General features: G+C 40.8%; 1 protein-coding gene across 1 annotated transcript in view, besides 7 other annotated features; it reads right to left on the minus strand.

Annotated features, from left to right (window-relative positions):
• RRAGD (Ras related GTP binding D) overlaps window positions 1-18,003 on the minus strand; it is a 47,658-nt gene that overhangs the window by 4,383 nt on the left and 25,272 nt on the right. The window contains exons 3-6 of the mRNA NM_021244.5: window positions 11,170-11,369; window positions 10,226-10,340; window positions 8,673-8,815; window positions 3,439-3,587 (exon numbers count right to left, since the gene is read on the minus strand). Coding sequence (NP_067067.1) covers window positions 3,439-3,587; window positions 8,673-8,815; window positions 10,226-10,340; window positions 11,170-11,369 — 607 coding nt within the window. The remainder of the gene's footprint in view (window positions 1-3,438; window positions 3,588-8,672; window positions 8,816-10,225; window positions 10,341-11,169; window positions 11,370-18,003) is intronic.
• Window positions 3,092-3,386: an enhancer, noted in NCBI's record as "tiled region #13381; HepG2 Activating non-DNase unmatched - State 12:CtcfO, and K562 Activating DNase matched - State 12:CtcfO". NCBI's record gives its function as "activates a minimal TATA promoter and a strong SV40 promoter by Sharpr-MPRA in HepG2 and K562 cells {active_cell/tissue: HepG2 | K562}" and the evidence as "EXISTENCE:reporter gene assay evidence [ECO:0000049][PMID:27701403]".
• Window positions 3,092-3,515: a biological region, named in NCBI's record as "Sharpr-MPRA regulatory region 13381".
• Window positions 3,296-3,515: an enhancer, noted in NCBI's record as "active region_24825". NCBI's record gives its function as "activates an Ori minimal core promoter by ATAC-STARR-seq in GM12878 lymphoblastoid cells {active_cell/tissue: GM12878}" and the evidence as "EXISTENCE:reporter gene assay evidence [ECO:0000049][PMID:35858748]".
• Window positions 3,886-4,005: an enhancer, noted in NCBI's record as "active region_24826". NCBI's record gives its function as "activates an Ori minimal core promoter by ATAC-STARR-seq in GM12878 lymphoblastoid cells {active_cell/tissue: GM12878}" and the evidence as "EXISTENCE:reporter gene assay evidence [ECO:0000049][PMID:35858748]".
• Window positions 6,099-6,599: an enhancer, noted in NCBI's record as "H3K4me1 hESC enhancer chr6:90084816-90085316 (GRCh37/hg19 assembly coordinates)". NCBI's record gives its function as "activates a minimal SCP1, AML or CMV promoter by ChIP-STARR-seq in naive H9 embryonic stem cells {active_cell/tissue: H9 hESC(naive)}" and the evidence as "EXISTENCE:reporter gene assay evidence [ECO:0000049][PMID:30033119]".
• Window positions 6,600-7,100: an enhancer, noted in NCBI's record as "H3K4me1 hESC enhancer chr6:90085317-90085817 (GRCh37/hg19 assembly coordinates)". NCBI's record gives its function as "activates a minimal SCP1, AML or CMV promoter by ChIP-STARR-seq in naive H9 embryonic stem cells {active_cell/tissue: H9 hESC(naive)}" and the evidence as "EXISTENCE:reporter gene assay evidence [ECO:0000049][PMID:30033119]".
• Window positions 16,297-16,376: an enhancer, noted in NCBI's record as "active region_24827". NCBI's record gives its function as "activates an Ori minimal core promoter by ATAC-STARR-seq in GM12878 lymphoblastoid cells {active_cell/tissue: GM12878}" and the evidence as "EXISTENCE:reporter gene assay evidence [ECO:0000049][PMID:35858748]".

An 18,003-nucleotide genomic window follows, 5' to 3' on the forward strand; every position in this document is an offset into this window, starting at 1 on the left:
AAATAACTAGCCCAACAATTATTTCTATCTATCAGTGGATGCTTCTAGAGCCGCGTCCAAAGGAAGAATTAGGATTCCGGCCAAGGATTAAATTCTTCAAACTAGTTATACAACTAACTGCAAGGGGAGGGCGGGGAGGGCACCGTCTCGGTTTCCAGGAGCAGGAAAACCTCTGAGTAGTGCCCTCTGCTGCTTCTGCAGAGAGAGTGAACCACTAGTGCAGTAAAACCAGGAGTCAATTTCCTCAAGGAAAGACCAATGTCACAAGCAAGGGGAAAAGTAATAAAAACAAAGGAGCAAAGGAACGATTTTTAAATGGCAATTTGAATATGAGATGTGAGAGCCTCAAGATTCTCTGCTTTTATGTGCAACAAACTGTCTTAAAAAGCTTAGCTAAAAGAACTTGGCTCAATGAGAAGGGTACAATGAAATACTCAACTTGGGAAATTTCAGACATATCCTGTTCTTATTTCTGAGGCAGGGTCTCACTCTGTCACCCAGGTGGGAGTGCAAGGCTCAATCACAGCTCATTGCAGTCTCAACCTCCTGGGCTCAAGCAATCCTCCCACCTCATTTTTGAATTTTTCCTAGAGATGAGGTCTCACTATGTTGCCCAGGATGGTCTTGAACCTCTAGGCTCAAGCAATCCTTCCACTTTGGCCTCCCAAAGTGCTGGGATCATAGGCATGAACCACTGGCACCCGCCCCTATTGTTCTTGACAAACCTTAACTTACATATCTTTGCACATTTCAAAATGTAACAGTAATCTTGCTGTGTTTGGAATTTTAAGTAAAAGTTCACAACTGAGGCTTTTTAAAGACAGTAAATATCCATAAACAGTGTTTGCTATTTCAACCCTCATGAAAAGTTTTTGAAAATACATGAACAGAGACATAAACAAAATAAACACTCTCTTCACCCCACCTACAGTTCATAAGGCCCCACATCCTTCTCTGGTTCAGGAGTTCTCAACCCTAGCTGCACAATAAAAACACCCAGGCACCAGGCACACCAGGAGGCCAGGCACAGCACAGCACTTCGGGAGGCTGAGCAGGGAGGATCACTTGAGGCCAGCAACCTTTAGCCCTGACTGCCATAAAGTGGTGGTGTGATGTTGAGAGAAAGTCATTTATATTTTCTAGGCCTGAGTAAAATCATCTGTGACATGAGAGGGTGAAACAAGGTGTATTCCTGTCTATCTTTAAAATTCCGTGATCTATTATATAATCTGTTCTTGTTTCTAGCAAGATGAAAATAAGGAGTAAAAGATGAACACCATTTAATTTACAGTTCTGAGGCCAAAGGACACAAAAGGCAATTTGGTCAGTCATGGTACACACAGGAAAAATACAGGACATCACTAAGCAGCAAGAAAATGTAAATTCACATAATATACCAGTTTTCAGTTAACAACTTTTAAAAATACTAATACCCAATATTGATAAGAACACAGCAAAATAAGTATTCATATTCTCTTCGCAGCATAAAACCAGAAAATCTTTCTGAAGAACATTTTGGTAATATGCATTAGAAGCCCCCAAAATGGGCCTACCCTTTTGATCTAAGTAATTCCACTTTAAATTTTTCCTTAGGAAACAACCAAAGATGCACATAAATATTTAGTGCAAAAGAGGTCATAATGATATTATTTATAACATTAAAATCTAGAAACAACATAGATGTCTGAAAATAGAAGAATCTAATACAATCATTAAAATGATGTGGTTAAAAAAAGACGGTGAATTGGAAACATGTCTGTAATAATTTAAGTGAAGGTTATAAAGTAGAATTCATCATACAATCTATCATAGTCCTTTTAGAAAATGCATATGCAAGAAAGGACTGGAAAAGTATACAGGAAATGTTAAGAGTAGTTATCTGAATGAGAAACATCGATAATTATTGTTTTTTTGCTAAATATTATTTCTAAATTTTCTAAAAGAATCTATTACTTTTCTGATAAAAATAAACAATGTAAATTAAGTTTTCATGGCCAATGAATTAGGAAAATTTCATGATATACGTAAGTGAAATATATGTAATATAAAATATAAATATTTTCATATTTGTATTAAATATAAAACTATATTAGAATATAAAACTATATTAGACAATATGGCCCCAGTTTTGTTGGAAGGAAGGAAAAAAAGGAATGAAGGAAGGGAGAAAAGGAGCGAGGGTAGGAGGGAGAGGAAATAAGAGAGAAGGGCCAGACGTGGTGGCTCACTCCTTTAATCCCAGCACTTTGGGATGTCGAGGTGGGAGGATCACTTGAGCCGAGGAGTTTGAGACCAGCCTAGGAAACATGGTGAGACCCCAATCTCTACCAAAAACAAAAAAAAATTCCAGGTTGTTGACATGTGTCTGTGGTCCTAGCTACATGGGAGGATGAGGTGGGAGGATCACTTGGGCCCGGGTGGTCAAAGCTGCAGAAAGCCATGACTGTGCCACTGCACTCCAGCCTAAGTAACAGAGCGAGATCCTGTCTCAAAAAAGAGAGAGAAAGGGAGAAAGAAAATCCCAGAAATTTAACATGGGTTTAGCTCTAGATGGTGAAATACCTGGTTTTATTCTACATACTTTCCTAAATTTTCAAAGCATTTTTAATTTAATGGGCTTATATTGCTTATAATATAGAAGAAAAAGGCTATTTCAGGATATGTTACTATAACATATTCAGGATATGTAACTATTTGTTGGAGATTTTCTTTTACCCAACAAATTAGTAAACCATACCCTATTACTAACAAAAGTCCCTAGCCATATCAGTAAGCTAGGGACTTCTGTTAGTAACTTTTGTTTAGATATTATAGAAGGGGGAAATTAGTTTAATTGCTTTTGTTTCAAAATAAAACTGAATTTGATCCTAAAAAAAATTTGGTGGAGTTAAATATATTCATGGTCTTCCCTTTCCGGAATCATGATGCCATCCCTGTGTTCTGAAGATTTAAGAAGTATTTTGAGGCTGAACAGAAGTCAAACCACCTGTTGTCCCCTCCTTTACATGGGAAGAACAAAAGATCACACGGTTACCTAAGACCTTCTAGAGGTGTGGAGCAAAGTGGAGACCTCCACCCTCAGTATAGGCTGGGAGTCTGCTCCCTGGTAAGAGACTTCATTCACAGCCTGGCAACAGTGCCCCAACTAGCTTCCCCCTAGCAGAGATGCCAAGGCCCCTGGGAGGATCATGGGGTTCCACTTCCACCTCGCTGCAATCGCAGATGCACCACTAGAGGGCAGGCCAGTTCACTGGCCCAGAAGCTGACACTGGGGGCAGGAGCCCGCCCCGCTCTGAACTCCAAGCCAAGAGGGCCTGTGACTGGCATCTGGAAGTTTCGAGGGCTATGCTGTTGTCCACCCACATTCAACAAACAATACATGCAGTAGCAGTCTGATGCTTCTTTTAATGCTTCTTTTAAATCACACCAAAAAGTTACCTTTTCTTTCAAAGCTTTCCTCTCTGACAAAGCAAACGAGAGCCAGGAACTTTGTCACCTCTTTTAAATAAAGCACGGTTGTATTATTAAGCTTTATGATGGCTGTGGATTCCTTGTCATAGGGGGTTCCTGCTCCATCTTCTTTGAGACTAAATGGGGACAGAAACCAAAACATGTGACCATTGAGAAAGAACTAGAAACTGTAAGCCAGTGACAAGAGACCGGCTTTAAGCCACAAAAAGTGATAATCATAAGTTGTTTACACTTGCAGTGCCTTTCAGCAAAAGAGCTCAGAAACACACAGGCACAAAAACATACACAGTCCTCAACAGTCATTTCCTACTGACAATGAGTGGCTGTCTGCAGCAGCTGGGACACTCTCCAGGCACCTGAAGAAGCCAGTTGAAGGATGAGGTTAGCTCTCCCCACCTCCGTGGCCAAGGGCTTCTTGTTTTCTCACCTAGAATAGCCAGGCTGTCAAAAGCGTGGTCTGATGAAAGACTAAGAAAGGCTGAAGATATGTTCCAAATTCAAGGAGTCTAAAGAGACCTGAAAGCCAAGTGCTAGACTGGATCCTGAATTGGGAAAAACTGCTATAAAAGATAGAATTGGGACCACTGGTAAAATCTGAATATCGTCTATATATTAGATAATAATGTAGCCATGCTAAATTTGCTGAACTGTGAACTGGTTCAATTTACTCTCAAATGGTTCACTGAAAAGAAATAGATACACAATATGTATTAGAAAAAGAGAGATGCAGCAAATATGGCAAATTGGTAAAAACTGATGAATCCCAGTGAAGAGTTATACAGGAGTTCATTTTACTACCCTTGTATATTTTCTGTAGGTTTTAACTTTTTTTCAAAATAAAGAGTTAAATAAGATATATAGGTCTATTTGGCCAGGCGCAGTGGCTCACGCCTGTAATCCTAGCACTTGGGAGACAGGTAGATCACGAGGTCATGAGTTCAAGACCAGCCTGGCCAATATGGGTGAAACCCCATCTCTACTAAAAATACAAAAATTAGACAGGCACCACGTGGTGGCGCACACCTGTAGTCCCAGCTACTCGGGAGGCTGAGGCAGAAGAATCCCTTGAACCCAGGAGGCAGACGTTGCCGTGAGCCGAGATTGTGCCACTGTACTCTAGCCTGGGTGACAGAGCAGGACTCCGTCTCAAAAAAAAAAAAAAAAAAAGATATATAGGTCTATTTAAGAAAAGGTGTGGTGTGCAGACACAAGTGACTTGGGTTTGAATCTCATTTCTTTTATTTGCTAGCTATGTGAGCTTGGACAAGTCGAATAACTTCTTTGAGCCTCAATTTCCTCATATGTACACTAACAGTAATTATTTCAAAGTTTTCTAATGAAGATTAAATGAAATAATGCATATGTAGCACTAAGCATAATGCTGAGAACATAAAATACACACTTATTATCATGGCTTTAATGACTGAAACTGGACCCTCTGAAGATACCTGTGTAATAAAAGTGTTATGAATCCTTTCCTCACAGGCAAAGGACACTTCCCTAAACCTTTTCCCCCTTACCTAAAACTGTACATAAATTTTCTGATTTATTTTTACTCCCCAAATTTATGAATAACTGACCAGAAATTTGACTTAATTGGAATTGTGTTAAACCTTACCACATTCACTGAGAACTAGCATTTATTAAAGCTTACTATGTGATATTAACCATTCTTAGTTCTTAAAATGCATTATCCTCTGTCTGCTATAAGAATCCTCTAAGTTTCTAAGGAAACTGAGGCTAGGGGAAAATAAGATAACTTGGTCAAAGCTGACGATAGGGGTAAAGTCAGGACCTCAAACCTAGATATGGCTAATTTCAAAGTTAATGCTTTAATCCTGTAAATACACAAGGGGGTACAGTATCAAGCCAGATTTAATGAAAAGCCTGAATTGCACAAGAGTATTTTTAGGAAATGTAGGTTTTTAGTTTTGAGAGTATTTTAAGCTGCCATATACATGGCCACTTAAAAGTAAATTGTGAGGGTGGGCACGGTGGCTCAGGCCTATAATCCCAGCACTTTGGGAGGCCGAGGTGGATCGCCTGAGGTTGGGAGTTCGAGAACAGCCTGACCAACATGGAGAAACTCCGTCTCTACTAAAAATACAAAATTAGCTAGGCGTGGTAGTGCATGCCTGTAATCCCAGCTACTCGGGAGGCTGAGGGAGGAGAATCACTTGAACCCGGGAGGCGGGGGTTGCAGTGAGCCGAGATCATGCCATTGCACTCCAGCCTGGGCAACAAGAGCGAAACTCCATCTCAAAAAAAAAAAAAGTAAATTGTGGAAGTTCGTATTTTTTGTTTTTTTTAAAGGATTCAACTCACTATAACCTACCAAAACATTAAAGAAAAACCTTTTAAGTGCTGGACATCAAATGTTAAAGATGCTTTAACAGAATTCATTAACTTCCATTGCACTGTTTTAACTACTATATTTTAAGGCTCAATCTCTCTTGCTTATAAGTAATGTTCTGAGAACAAGAAACTGAAACATTTAACATGTTTTACCCAATGAAGAAAATAGCATTTAAAATTTCCAAGTAAATATAATACTATATAGATATTAAACACTGTTTATTAACAGCATTTAATAATACAGGAAAATTATCAGGTGGTAATGTTAAATGAAAAAAGCAGGATGAAAAATTTCACATACAAATGTGATCTCATTATCCTAAAAATTACACATGGAAATAAGAACAAACTATATAAAATGTAAACACTGACTGTCTCTAGGTGGTGAGATTATGGGCTACTTTAATTTTATTCTTTAGACTTTTATGTATTTTCTGCAATAAGCATGTATTACTTTCACAATCAGAAAAAGGTAAACATTAAACAAATTAGAAAAACAGACTCCACCAAAAATTACAAGTAGAAATTGATGAGGTTTGCAACTGCAAAAACTGTTTTACTACTCAAGTTTTTCATCTATAAGCAATGAAAACACATGAAGATAGAACATATTTTAAAGTGTGTGCATGTGTGTGTGCATATATGTGCGTGTGCATGTGTGTGCATGAGTGAGCACAGAGCTGCCAGCTGGGGCACAGCCTCAGCTGAGAGATTCCTGAGGCACCAGGTCACCTGATTCTAGGGCCTGCTGGTCTCCACTGGGCAGGTGGGGAGGGGCAGCAAGGCCTCCAGTTACAAGGGCACCTGCTTCCTCATTGCCTAAGAGGGCCCCAGGCTCTGCACACAACCCTGCCTCCTGCTGGTTAACAGGACTGGCTTGTTGCTGCTCCAGCAAACAATCTGAGGAAACCCCAGAGCCCACAAACCATCTGTGACCCAGACTGGTTCTTACTGAATCCTGTGGGTTCTCAGAACACTGTACTCCACCACAGAAAAACCAATCTGACGGCAAAGCCAGGCCACCTCCTCCTAACCCCTCCCTCCCCATGTTTGTTTTAGCTGGGTAAAAGTAACTCTGATTAACATCATTTACATGAACAACTTACCACTTACAGCTAATGACCATATGGCACAATAATGATCATGCACATTGTTAAGCATGTGCCAGATTAATTGTGTTGTTCATTGTACTTGATTACCATGGCAATCTGCACTGTAATCAGGGTGCGTTCATCTTCCATGACTATTTCAAGGTCATCCATTTAAACGGTTTAAAAATAATAGAATGCTTCAGGGCAGTAATCTTGGGCAATAAGGTTTATTTCTAAAGCCAGATGTCAGCGTTTAATTATAACAGTAATAATAAATTATGGCAGCTACATTTATCCAGAGTCTACCAGGTAAAGGCACGTTATGAGCCTAATGATATTTCATCCTCAATACAATCTTGTAAGTATCACTTTCCATGTGTGTGTGGTGTGTGTGTGTGTGTGTGTGTGTGTGTGTGTGTGTGTCTAACAGTTAACAGAGAGAATCCGAGCTGAGTGGGCAAAGGATTTTTAAGCAATGGAAGAGAAAAATGGAGACTAGACTCTCACAAAAGCTGAAAGGCAGAGCGTCAAGCTGTGTAAGGCAGGTCACAGGCAGTGAGTAAAGAGGAAGATGAGCAAAAGCTTTACCTCATCGATTAGATGAGGATGTCAGATACAATACAGATAGCAACACCTTAACATCTTAATAAGATGAACAACTAGTTCACACCTAGTCAGTCTGTACACCACCTGTTCAGCACATTTATAATTATGTAGAATTGTTTCTACATCGGGTAACATAATCAGTTTCCCCCACTCCTTGTTTATTTTATATTAAGTGTATAGGAAGCTCTGTTTTCTAAGAACGGTATGTTAACAGATTTTTTTCAGCAGAGGATCAGGAATCAGATCTGAGTTGAAACTCCAGTTCCAATCCTTACTGATAGTGTGAGCAAGAGTAAGAAATGTAACCACTCTGAACCTCAGTTTTTTCATCTGTAAAGTGAATACACTACAGTTGACCTTAAACAACACAGATTTGAACTGCCTAGGTCCACTTATACATGGATTTTCTTCCGCTTCTGCCACTCCTAAGACAGCAAAATCAACCCCTTCTCTTCCTCCTCCTCAGCCTACTCAATGTGAAGACAATGAGGGTAAAGACCTTTATGATGACCCACTTCCATTTAATAAATAGTAAATATATTCTTTCTTATAATTTCTTCTCTGTAGCTCACTTTATTGTTAAGAATACAGTGCGTAATACATAACATACAAAATGTGTGTTAATCAATCATTCATGTTATTGGTAAGGCTTCCAGTCAACAGTAGACTATTAGTATTAATAGTTAAGTTTGTCAGGGGGGAAATATATGTGGCTTTTTGACTGTTCAAAGGGTTGGTACCCCAACCCCTGTGTTGTTCAAGGGTCAAATGTAATTCCTGCCACATCGAATAGTTGAGAATTAAATGATAACCTGGGCACAGTGGCTCATGCCTATAATCCCAGCTACTCGAGAGGCTGAGGTGAGAGGATCATTTGAGCCCAGGAGTGATCTATCCTGGACAACACAGGGACACCCTATTGCTAAAAAATTGAAATAAATAATAGGAAGCATGCAATGAGATTAGCATAATGCGTGGCATTTGCTCAATAACTGTTATTATTGCATGCTAACTGGTATATTTATTTATAGATTTCAGTCATTTAAGACAAAAATGTTAAAGTTAAGTAAGTAAATGTAAATGCAAAATGCCTGAAAGGTTATGAAGGAAGGATGGCTTGATTGTGGCCTTTAAGAATGTTGTACTTACCCATAAATACAAGAGATGTCAATAACCACATCTATCATATCACAGCAGAGCTCATAGGTTTGCATATCCACCGGAGTACTATCAGTTGCAATATAAATTTTACTGACCACATCAAATAGAAATGCCTTTTCAATTCCAGAATTCTGAAATTTAAAAAAAAAAGTTGCCTTAAAGCAACAGTCAACTTCAGACCATGTCATGACTACACAAAATTGAATGCCATTCTTAATGTAAAATACAAAATGAGCAAAACTCGCTACTAAAAATTTAAATTGTATCATTTTATTACAATTTAAACTTCACTGTCATAAACTTCTCTATACTGGACTTGCATAAGAAATAAAAAGTAGAGGCCGGGCATGGTGGCTCACGCCTGTAATCCCAGCACTTTGGGAGGCCAAGGCGGGCAGATCACCTGAGGCCAGGAGTTCGAAACCAGCCTGACCAACCGGGAGAAACCTGTCTCTACTAAAAATACAAAATTAGCCAGGCGTGGTGGTGCATGCCTGTAATCCCAGCTACTCGGGAGGCTGAGGAAGGAGAACTGCTTGAACCCAGGAGGCGGAGGTAGCGGTGAGCCGAGATGGCGCCATTGCACTCCAGCCTGGGCAACAAGAGCAAAACTCCGTCTCAAAAAAAAAAAAAGAATTCGAATGACCACAAATTATTTATTTTAGGTAACCAAATTGAGCAATATTTCCTAACTCGTAGAGATACATACCTGCAATTAGGAAAAGGCCAAGTAAAAATACTTTTACTGACTGTAAATTTTAAAATAAGCTTAGAAACACTAAACAAACACACTCAAAATTGTGTAGTGACAGAGTAAACGTGAGTATAACCAATAGGTCTGCCTCAATTCAACTCAGCAGCGCCTACCTGGAGCTGGTGATGTGTAGGGTTCATTCAGCACATCACTCATAGCATGTTAAACTTATAAAAAGCTATTCAACAGTTTGCGTCTTATCAATAAAGCCAAGTTTTATGTTCCCTACCTCTGGTGGGGCTCTATTAATATTGAATGATTGCCTACAGGCTTGAATAAACCCTCCAATTATACCAGTGAAGTGCAGGAATGCATCTGAGTAGTTATATTTTATTTTTAGAGACAAGTTCTCGCTCTGATGCCCAGGCTGGAGTGCAGTGGCACAATCATGGCTCACTTTAGCCTCAAACTCCTGGGCTCAAGTAAGTACTCCTTCCACCACAGCCTCCCAAGTAGCTGGGACTACAGGCATGTGCTACCACACCTGGCTAGTTTTTACATTTTTTTTGTATAGACAGGATCTCACTATGTTACCTAAACTGGTCCCAACCTCCTGGCCTCAAGCCATCGTAACGCCTCAACCTCCCAAAGTGGGGCGTGAGCCATCAAGCTGGGCTGGGAGTTAAATTTTAAAGGATCTAAAAGAACACGTAGGAGTAATCTTTAAAAGTAATACTTAAATGACCTTGAAATGCTATAGAAGCAATCGGAAATAAGATCTTTTTCACTCTTGCAATGTTATTTTCAAATTCTACAAGTGACTCAAACAGGAATATTATTTACTTACTGAGATAAAGATGTTCAGCAAATTCTCCAGAGTTGGGAGTTGTGGAATCAGTTTCTGAACAACTTTGCTAAAAGCTTCAAATATTGAATGATCATATATGCTTGTCAGATAAAAGCTGAAAGAGGAAACGGTATTTCATCATGTTTTCCCTTTGAATGAGGAACAGGCTGCTTAGGCTATGTCAAAACACCGGTAATCTGCCTTCTGTATGTATAGTCCTAACACATACAGTCCAGCCCCCTTCAGAATTTACAGTGACCTCGGTAAAAAACAAGCCATTCCTCCCCACCTCCCAAAAAGCCCGAGCTGTGCCTATTCTCATCTGCTGTGCCTATTCTCATCTGCCAACTGGCAAGCTTACAACCGCAGCAATCTGTGTCCATCCCAGCTTCCTGACATTCTGCAAGACAATCCATGCCAGATCATCTTTACACAAGCCTCTTAGGTTGTCCAATTAGTAACTTATATTCTTGATATTGAAGCAACTATTTTTTTTCCATTTCCCAATTTACAAAATGATGCATGTACTACCTCACAAAAAATGATGGAAACATTGTTTTCCTTTGTGAGGATTCCTATTTGGATTGTTTTCAGACTACTCCTTTACTTATAATTACAGATAATATCTTTATCAAGAACTGTAAACTTTAGCATCAACTAACTACTAAAATTATATTCATAGGTTTTCTATAATGTGTTTCTCATGTGAGGGGAGAACCTTAGCTTTGACCATTTGTTAAAAAACAAAAAAACATCGCTTTCACTAAAGATTAGCATTAGCACATGCAAAGCTCATTTTCCCCTAATCCTATCCATCTACAGCATGAAACAGGGTAAAAAGAAGGTAAATTACTGCCCATGCCAAGCCAATCATGGTGACTCCGAACCCCAAACTTGCTTTCTTCCATCCTTTATTGGGATCCTTAAGGGGTTTCTGTTCTCACCTGAGGTGAATTTTTTCTAATCCAGCATCTGCAAGGTCATCGTTTGCCCTCTGGTGAATATCTCTTTGGGTTTCAATTTTGTGGTCATCTGACAGACCATCCACTTTATGAATAAACACCTCGAAGTTGATGTCAGTATTCACTTTGTAGGCCCTGGTCACCGTGAGGTGGAGCCTGGCCAGGGCTTCCATGTAATCATCCTAGGACCAAAGGCAACGCCTGTGAGAGAAGGCCGCTTTGCTTCCTGAGCCTCCCACACACACTCTTCACCTGGAAACCATGTGGCTGCAACCCCCCGAAATACGTTGCAAAGGTTCCCCTCAACAAGCTGGCTTCTTATAATTCCAGTGTGAAAATTTAAGTTCTGTTAACAAAGAGAGGAAGAAGAAAGGCTAAAAAAATGCAGCTGATTTAGGCAGTTATGACTGAGGTTGATGACAGTCATAAAGATCAGAGTTGGCTGGGCGTGGTGGCTCAAGCCTGTAATCCCAGAACTTTGGGAGGCCCAGGCAGGTGGATCATGAGGTCAGGAGATTGAGACCATCCTGGCTAACACGGTGAAACCCCTTCTCTACTAAAAATACAAAAAATTAGCCAGGCGTGGTGGCATGCGCCTGTAGTCCCAGCTACTCGGGAGGCTGAGGCAGGAGAATTGCTTGAACCCAGGAGGCAGAGATTGCAGTGAGCTGAGATCACACCACTGTACTCCAGCCTGGATGACAGAGTAAGACTCGGTCACAAAAAGAAAAAAAAAAAAAAAGATCAGAGTTGCGGTTTCAGGAAGAGAAACGGACCCTACTCCACATAAGACCTTCCCCAGAATACTGTTCCTCCTAACTTTTCCAGTCTCTTGTGAACTGTGATGAACAATTAGAGATGGAGGCATGATACAGGCCACTGGGCGGGTGGGGAAGGAGCTGAGGAGCAATTTTAAGAACCACTGGTTCAGTGCAGAAGTCAGCAGACCACCGTCTGCAGGCCCTGTGCCTGTTTCTTAAAAGTAAGTTGTATTGGAACATGCTCATTTGCTTTCATATTGTCTAAGGCTGCTTTTGTGCTACAATGGCAGAGTTGAGTAAGTTTCCTCTAGAGAAACTCCTCAGAGACAGTACAGTCTACAAAGCTTAAGATGTTTGCCATCTGCCCCTTTACAGAAAAAGTCCCCTGGTCTAGAGGAATTGCCCCAAACAATACTAACTTTTTTCTTCTTCCCATGCCTATATAATGAACACCTGTGTATTTATCTCTATTTAGGAAATAAAACACCTACACAAAAGCCCTCTGTGTTTCTCCTCATCCTCCCAACCCATGCTATCCCTCTACCCCCTCATCCTCTAGAGACAACCACTATCCCAAGTTTAGTATTTATTCTCACTCATGTATACATTAATACAGACATATATATCCCCAAACATCACATATAATTCATTTACATTGTTTAAAAATGGAAAGAAATATTAAGTTGTGTGTATATTATAGTTTGCCTTTTTCATTCAACACTATGTCAGTGAGATTCACCTATGCTGAATGTTATCTGTAGTACATAACTACAGTGCATTAGTTCCTTTTAATGGCTCTATAAAACTTCCTTTTATGGATGATCTATAATTTATATTTGCCTGCTGATGGACATTATTCCCATGTATATGTGATTACAATGATATATGTACAGTCTCATGTACATGTGGCTTACTCTGAAGGGTGACTTGTCAGGTCATAGGTAGGAGTGCCTTGACTGTACCTGGAAGTCTGTAAACAGCATCTGATGCTTCAGACCCTCACCAACAATTGGTGGTGTCAGATCTCTTATTGCCAATTTGAAGGGTGTGAACAGGTCTTGTTTTTATGGCAAAAAAAAAAAAAGGAAAGAGACCTGTAGGACAGAATCTAAATGCCTTCCCCCTCTGCCCCGCCACTTGTGCCTCCAAACCTGGAAAAAACAGAAAGCCAATATAATTGGGGGTGTTTTCTGGCATTCTTCTATGCTCCAAACATCAGTAAAAATGTATCCCTAGTCTCTAGGCAAATCAAATATTAATTATACAAATAGGAAACTATGAAGAGGGAAAAACCGCAAATGGAGTCCTTCCCATCCTTCACACTCTACAGAGTTGTTTAGAATAAAGGACAAAAGCCAGGAGCAGTGGCTTGTGCCTGTAATCCCACCTACTGGAGAGGACTGCTTGAGTTCAAGACCGGCCTGAACAACACAGTGAGACCCCTATCTCTAGAAATATATATATATATATATATATGTAATTAACCAGACTTGGTGGTGCACACCTGTAGTCCCAGCTACTCGGAGGCTGAGGCAGGAGAATTCCTTGAACTCAGGAATTTGAGGTTACAATGAGCTATGATCTTGCCACTGCACTCCAACCTAGGTAACAGAGTGAGAGCCTGCCTGTAAAAATTAAATAAAATGAGGCCGGGCGCGGTGGCTCACGCCTGTAATCCCAGCCCTTTGGGAGGCCAAGGCGGGCAGATCACGAGGTCAGGAGTTCGAGACCAGCCTGACCAACATGGTGAAACCCCGTCTCTACTAAAAAAATACAAAAATTAGCTGGGCAGGGTGGCGCATGCCTGTAATCCCAGCTACTCAGGAGGCTGAGGCAGGAGAATTGCTTAAACCTGGGAGGCGGAGGTTGCAGTGAGCCAAGATCGTGCCACTGCACTCCAGCCTGGGCAACAGAGCAAGACTCCATCTCAAAAAAAATAAAAAAAAAAATTAAATTAAATGAAAGGCAAATGTCGGATTCTGGGTCAGCAGATTAAGCATTAAAAACTAAAGGTATTACTGTATGGTTCCACATAGATGAAATTCTAGAAAAGGCAAACTAAAGTGACAGCACTGCAGTGGTTGCCTGGGGCTGAGTGTTTCAGGGGATCACCTGAGAAAGGGCACAAGGGAACCTTTGGGGTGGTGGAAATATTCTATATCTTGAAGGAGGGGTGGTTACATGGTGTACACATTGGTCAAACCTGTTGAACTGTACACTTAAAATGAATGCATTTTATTGCATGTAAATTACACCTCAAGAAAAGTGTTATTGCTGTCTTTAACTGAGGAGGGGAGTTAAGGGAACATGTCTGTGAGCAAAACTACCCAATGTCAAGAGAGCATCACATCTCCAAAGATTGGAAATTGCTACTCTAACCTCCCTGCCAAGCATATAAAATGGTCTGATTACCAACTAACTGAAAAAGCAGCATGCAGCTACAAGGACTAAAAAAAAGAAAATACTTGGTTGGTTAGAACAGAGGGATTGCAGGTGATTTTTCCCATCGTTTATTACTTTCTTTGACAAATAAAAATTAAGGTAAAATACACTGCATAGTTTCTACTCTGAAATTAGATCTGGGGATTATGGGCAGGTCACAAGCACCAGCACAGGTCAAGAAGAAACTCTCTTTTGGATCCATAGCACATGTGCAATGGCTTCAGGAGATATGGTGCATTCTGTAGGCTGGGGAGCGGGGCTGGGGTGTCACCACAGATCATGGGAACCACTCTTGCTTTCATTCTTTTTTATTTTATGACATTCTGTGAGGACACATTTACTCCTGGGGGATATATTTATCCGGCAATCCTGTGACTGTAAGGAATTCATGAACAAAAAATAAAAATATGAGGAGTGAGAACAAAATAGTATTGCTTAGAAATAAAGGAAAGGGGCCAGGCGTAGTGGCTCATGACTGTAATCTCAGCACTTTGGGAGGCCGAGGCGGGTGGATCACGAGGTCAAGAGATCGAGACCATCCTGGCCAACATTGTGAAATCCTGTCTCTACTAAAAATATAAAACTTAGCTGGGTGTGGTGGCTACTCAGGAGGCTGAGGGAGGAGAATCACTTGAACCCAGTTGGCGGGGATTGCAGTGAGCCAAGATCGCACCACTGCACTCCAGCCTGGTGACAGAGTGAGACTCCATCTAAAAAAAAAAAAAAAGAAAGAAAGGAAAGGACACTCAAGTGCTGTGGAGACACTTCCCTAAAGTTTTGATTTTCCTGTCAGTGCTTCTAATCACATCCCATAAAGGTTCCTGCAAACATGATTTTTACATTCTGCTTCCAACAGAAAAGTATATTAGGTTTTGAAACTGCTTATTTAATTATTCCTTATTTTAAATAAATTACAGCATTCAACAATGCTTTTCCTACTGTTTATTTTTATGTGTGGTTTTTTTCTCTTTTCGAGATAAGGTCTTGCTCTGTCACCCAGGTTAGAGTGCAATGGCACAATCATAGCTTACTGCAGCCTCAAACTCCTGGGCCTAAGTGGTCCTCCAGCCTTGGCCTCCCAAAGTGTTTGGATTATAGACATGAGCCACTGTGCCCAGCCTTCTCTTTTTAAAAAGTATAACTTTAGGCCAGGCGTGGTGGCTCACGCCTGTAATCCCAGCACTTTGGGAGGCTGAGATGGATGGATCATGAGGTCAAGAGATCGAGACCATCCTGGCTAACATGGTGAAACCCCATCTCTACTAAAAATCAAAAAATTAGCCGGGTGTGGTGGCGGGCGCCTGCAGTCCCAGCTACTCGGGAGGCTGAGGCAGGAAAATGGCGTGAACCCAGGAGGTGGACTTGCAGTGAGCCAAGATGGCGCCACTGGACTCCAGCTTAGGCGACAGAGCAAGACTCCGTCTCAAAAAAAAAAAAAAAAAAAGTATACCTTTAAAAAATGAACTTCTCAAACATTCCTATATCTTTCTCTGCCCCACAAAAAACACCCAAGAGAAGAGCCAAGGATAGTAGCATGCATCTGTAGTCCCAGCTACCTGGGAGGTTGAAACAGTAGGATCACTTGAGCCCAGGACTTTGAGGCTGTAGCGGGTTATAATCACACTTGTGAATAGCCACTGCACTCCAGCCTGGGCAACATAGTGAGACCTCGTCTGAGGAAGAAAAAAAACTTCAAGAAACAAAATTAAAATAAAAAACACATTTACCAACCTAAATTGAAGGTCTGCCTTCAATTTAAAAATAGGCAGATGTACCTATTTTCGCCACATTATAACCATATTAGAAACACCTAAAAATAGATTACACTGTAAATTTGAATTCCCATAAATGCAAATTGCTATGTAAGCACAACGTGGTATTTAAGTAAGTACTTACTAATCCATTGTCTTGAAATGATGAGTCATCTGGTTGGAAATCTACTCACCCATGGGTAGGACTACTACAGCTACCCAGTTCAACAACTACAGAAACAGCTGCTGCGTGACTTAGGGAGAAAAATGGAGCTTAGAAGAGAGAGATGAGCATGACATCCCTGGAGCCTCCCCTTCCCTACAGCAGTGTGCACACACCCCATCCACTCCCCTTGAGCACTAAGCTCCCTAATTTATGGTGCTGGCAGACCTGAGACAGTAAAGCAGGGGATACTGCCAAGACCACAGATGGGCCAGAAAACAGGTCAGTACAAGTGGGACAGTCAGGAAAGCAGCTGCTGACAGCAGGCCCTGGACGTGGTGCAGGTAACACGTGTTTCTGGGTAGGCCCATGGGAAGAGAGTAAACTGCTGATCACAGATCAGGCATTGGATTTGAAGTCTCCCTCCTCCACACCCCTACCAAAAAGGAAAGGAAGAACCCTTCTAACCATTGGCCATGCTCCCACAGCCATACACGTACACAAATGCAGCCACTTGGAACTGAGAGGCTTAGTTGAAAATTTTGTTATTATTATTAAACAGGCACCTAGATCCTGAATGAACTTACGATCCTCTCAGGCATGGGGAGTCTACTCAGAGGATGGTTCTCGAGCATGGGCTCAGAATGATATTATCGGGAATAGTCTTTGTAACACTTCAGCCCTAACAGCTCTGGTGCTCCTAGAAGGGCCAGGTGTGCTTAGCGGGGCGATGCACACCCGCAGCTGGCCAACCTGTCTCACTGTGGGTCCACAGTTCCAGGGAAAGGGCACAACCTGAACCTCAGAGTTGGTTCAGCGCATGCTGAGAAGGGCTGATGCCATTTATTTCCCCCCAGCTGCAAAAGGGAGCCCTTGGGGAGCCTTCAGGCTGGGCCATATGTCATGGGCATTTTCTAAGAGCCCCAGACATGGATAGTTTGGAAAGCACCAATGCCCCTATCCTGCTGCACATCCCCTTCCTAAAATGTATCTGCCTGACACACTTGTGGTCCTACTGTCTCCCTTTGCCTCCCCTTTACACCAACTACAGCAGAAAAGCCTCAGGATGTAAAAAACCCAGGGTGCCAAGGAGCCAATGTGGAATGCTAGAAAAGAACCTGATACAGGGAATGACTCGCGACTGGGAATGGGGCTCTTCAAAGCATAGGAAACAGGTTCCCAATTCTTTGCGTCCAACAAAGTGAAAGGAGAACCTACTCTGGAAGCCTGTTGTTAAACTACTAAAAATAATTTTTCATGATAGAAAACTTGGTAATTTAGGGGATATAACTTGGAAGGAATCTGAATAGCAGTATGAATGCTAGAATAAAACTCACCTCATATCCACCTACTTACTTATGTGAATAAAGTTTCTCAGTGCTTATAACTATATAAACAGAAAACAAAAATGGAACTGATGCCAAATATTGTCTTATTCAAGCATGGATATATGAAGTGGAAAAAATATCAAATATCCATCTTCTAAAGAGGGATATTTATCTCAAATTTTACTTTTTATATGTAATAATCATCTATAAAATACATAATTATATTATCTTAAGCAATAATTATAATAATTTATTTCAGAAGAAAAATTTTCACACCTAGAACTTTATCTTCATAGGAAATAATAAACAGTTTAAAATGTAAATTTATACACATGTTTTTGTTGCAGAGAACCTGTGATCTTTTGTAGATG

This window comes from Homo sapiens, chromosome 6 (genome assembly GCF_000001405.40).
Source record: "Homo sapiens chromosome 6, GRCh38.p14 Primary Assembly".
NCBI lineage: Eukaryota > Metazoa > Chordata > Mammalia > Primates > Hominidae > Homo > Homo sapiens.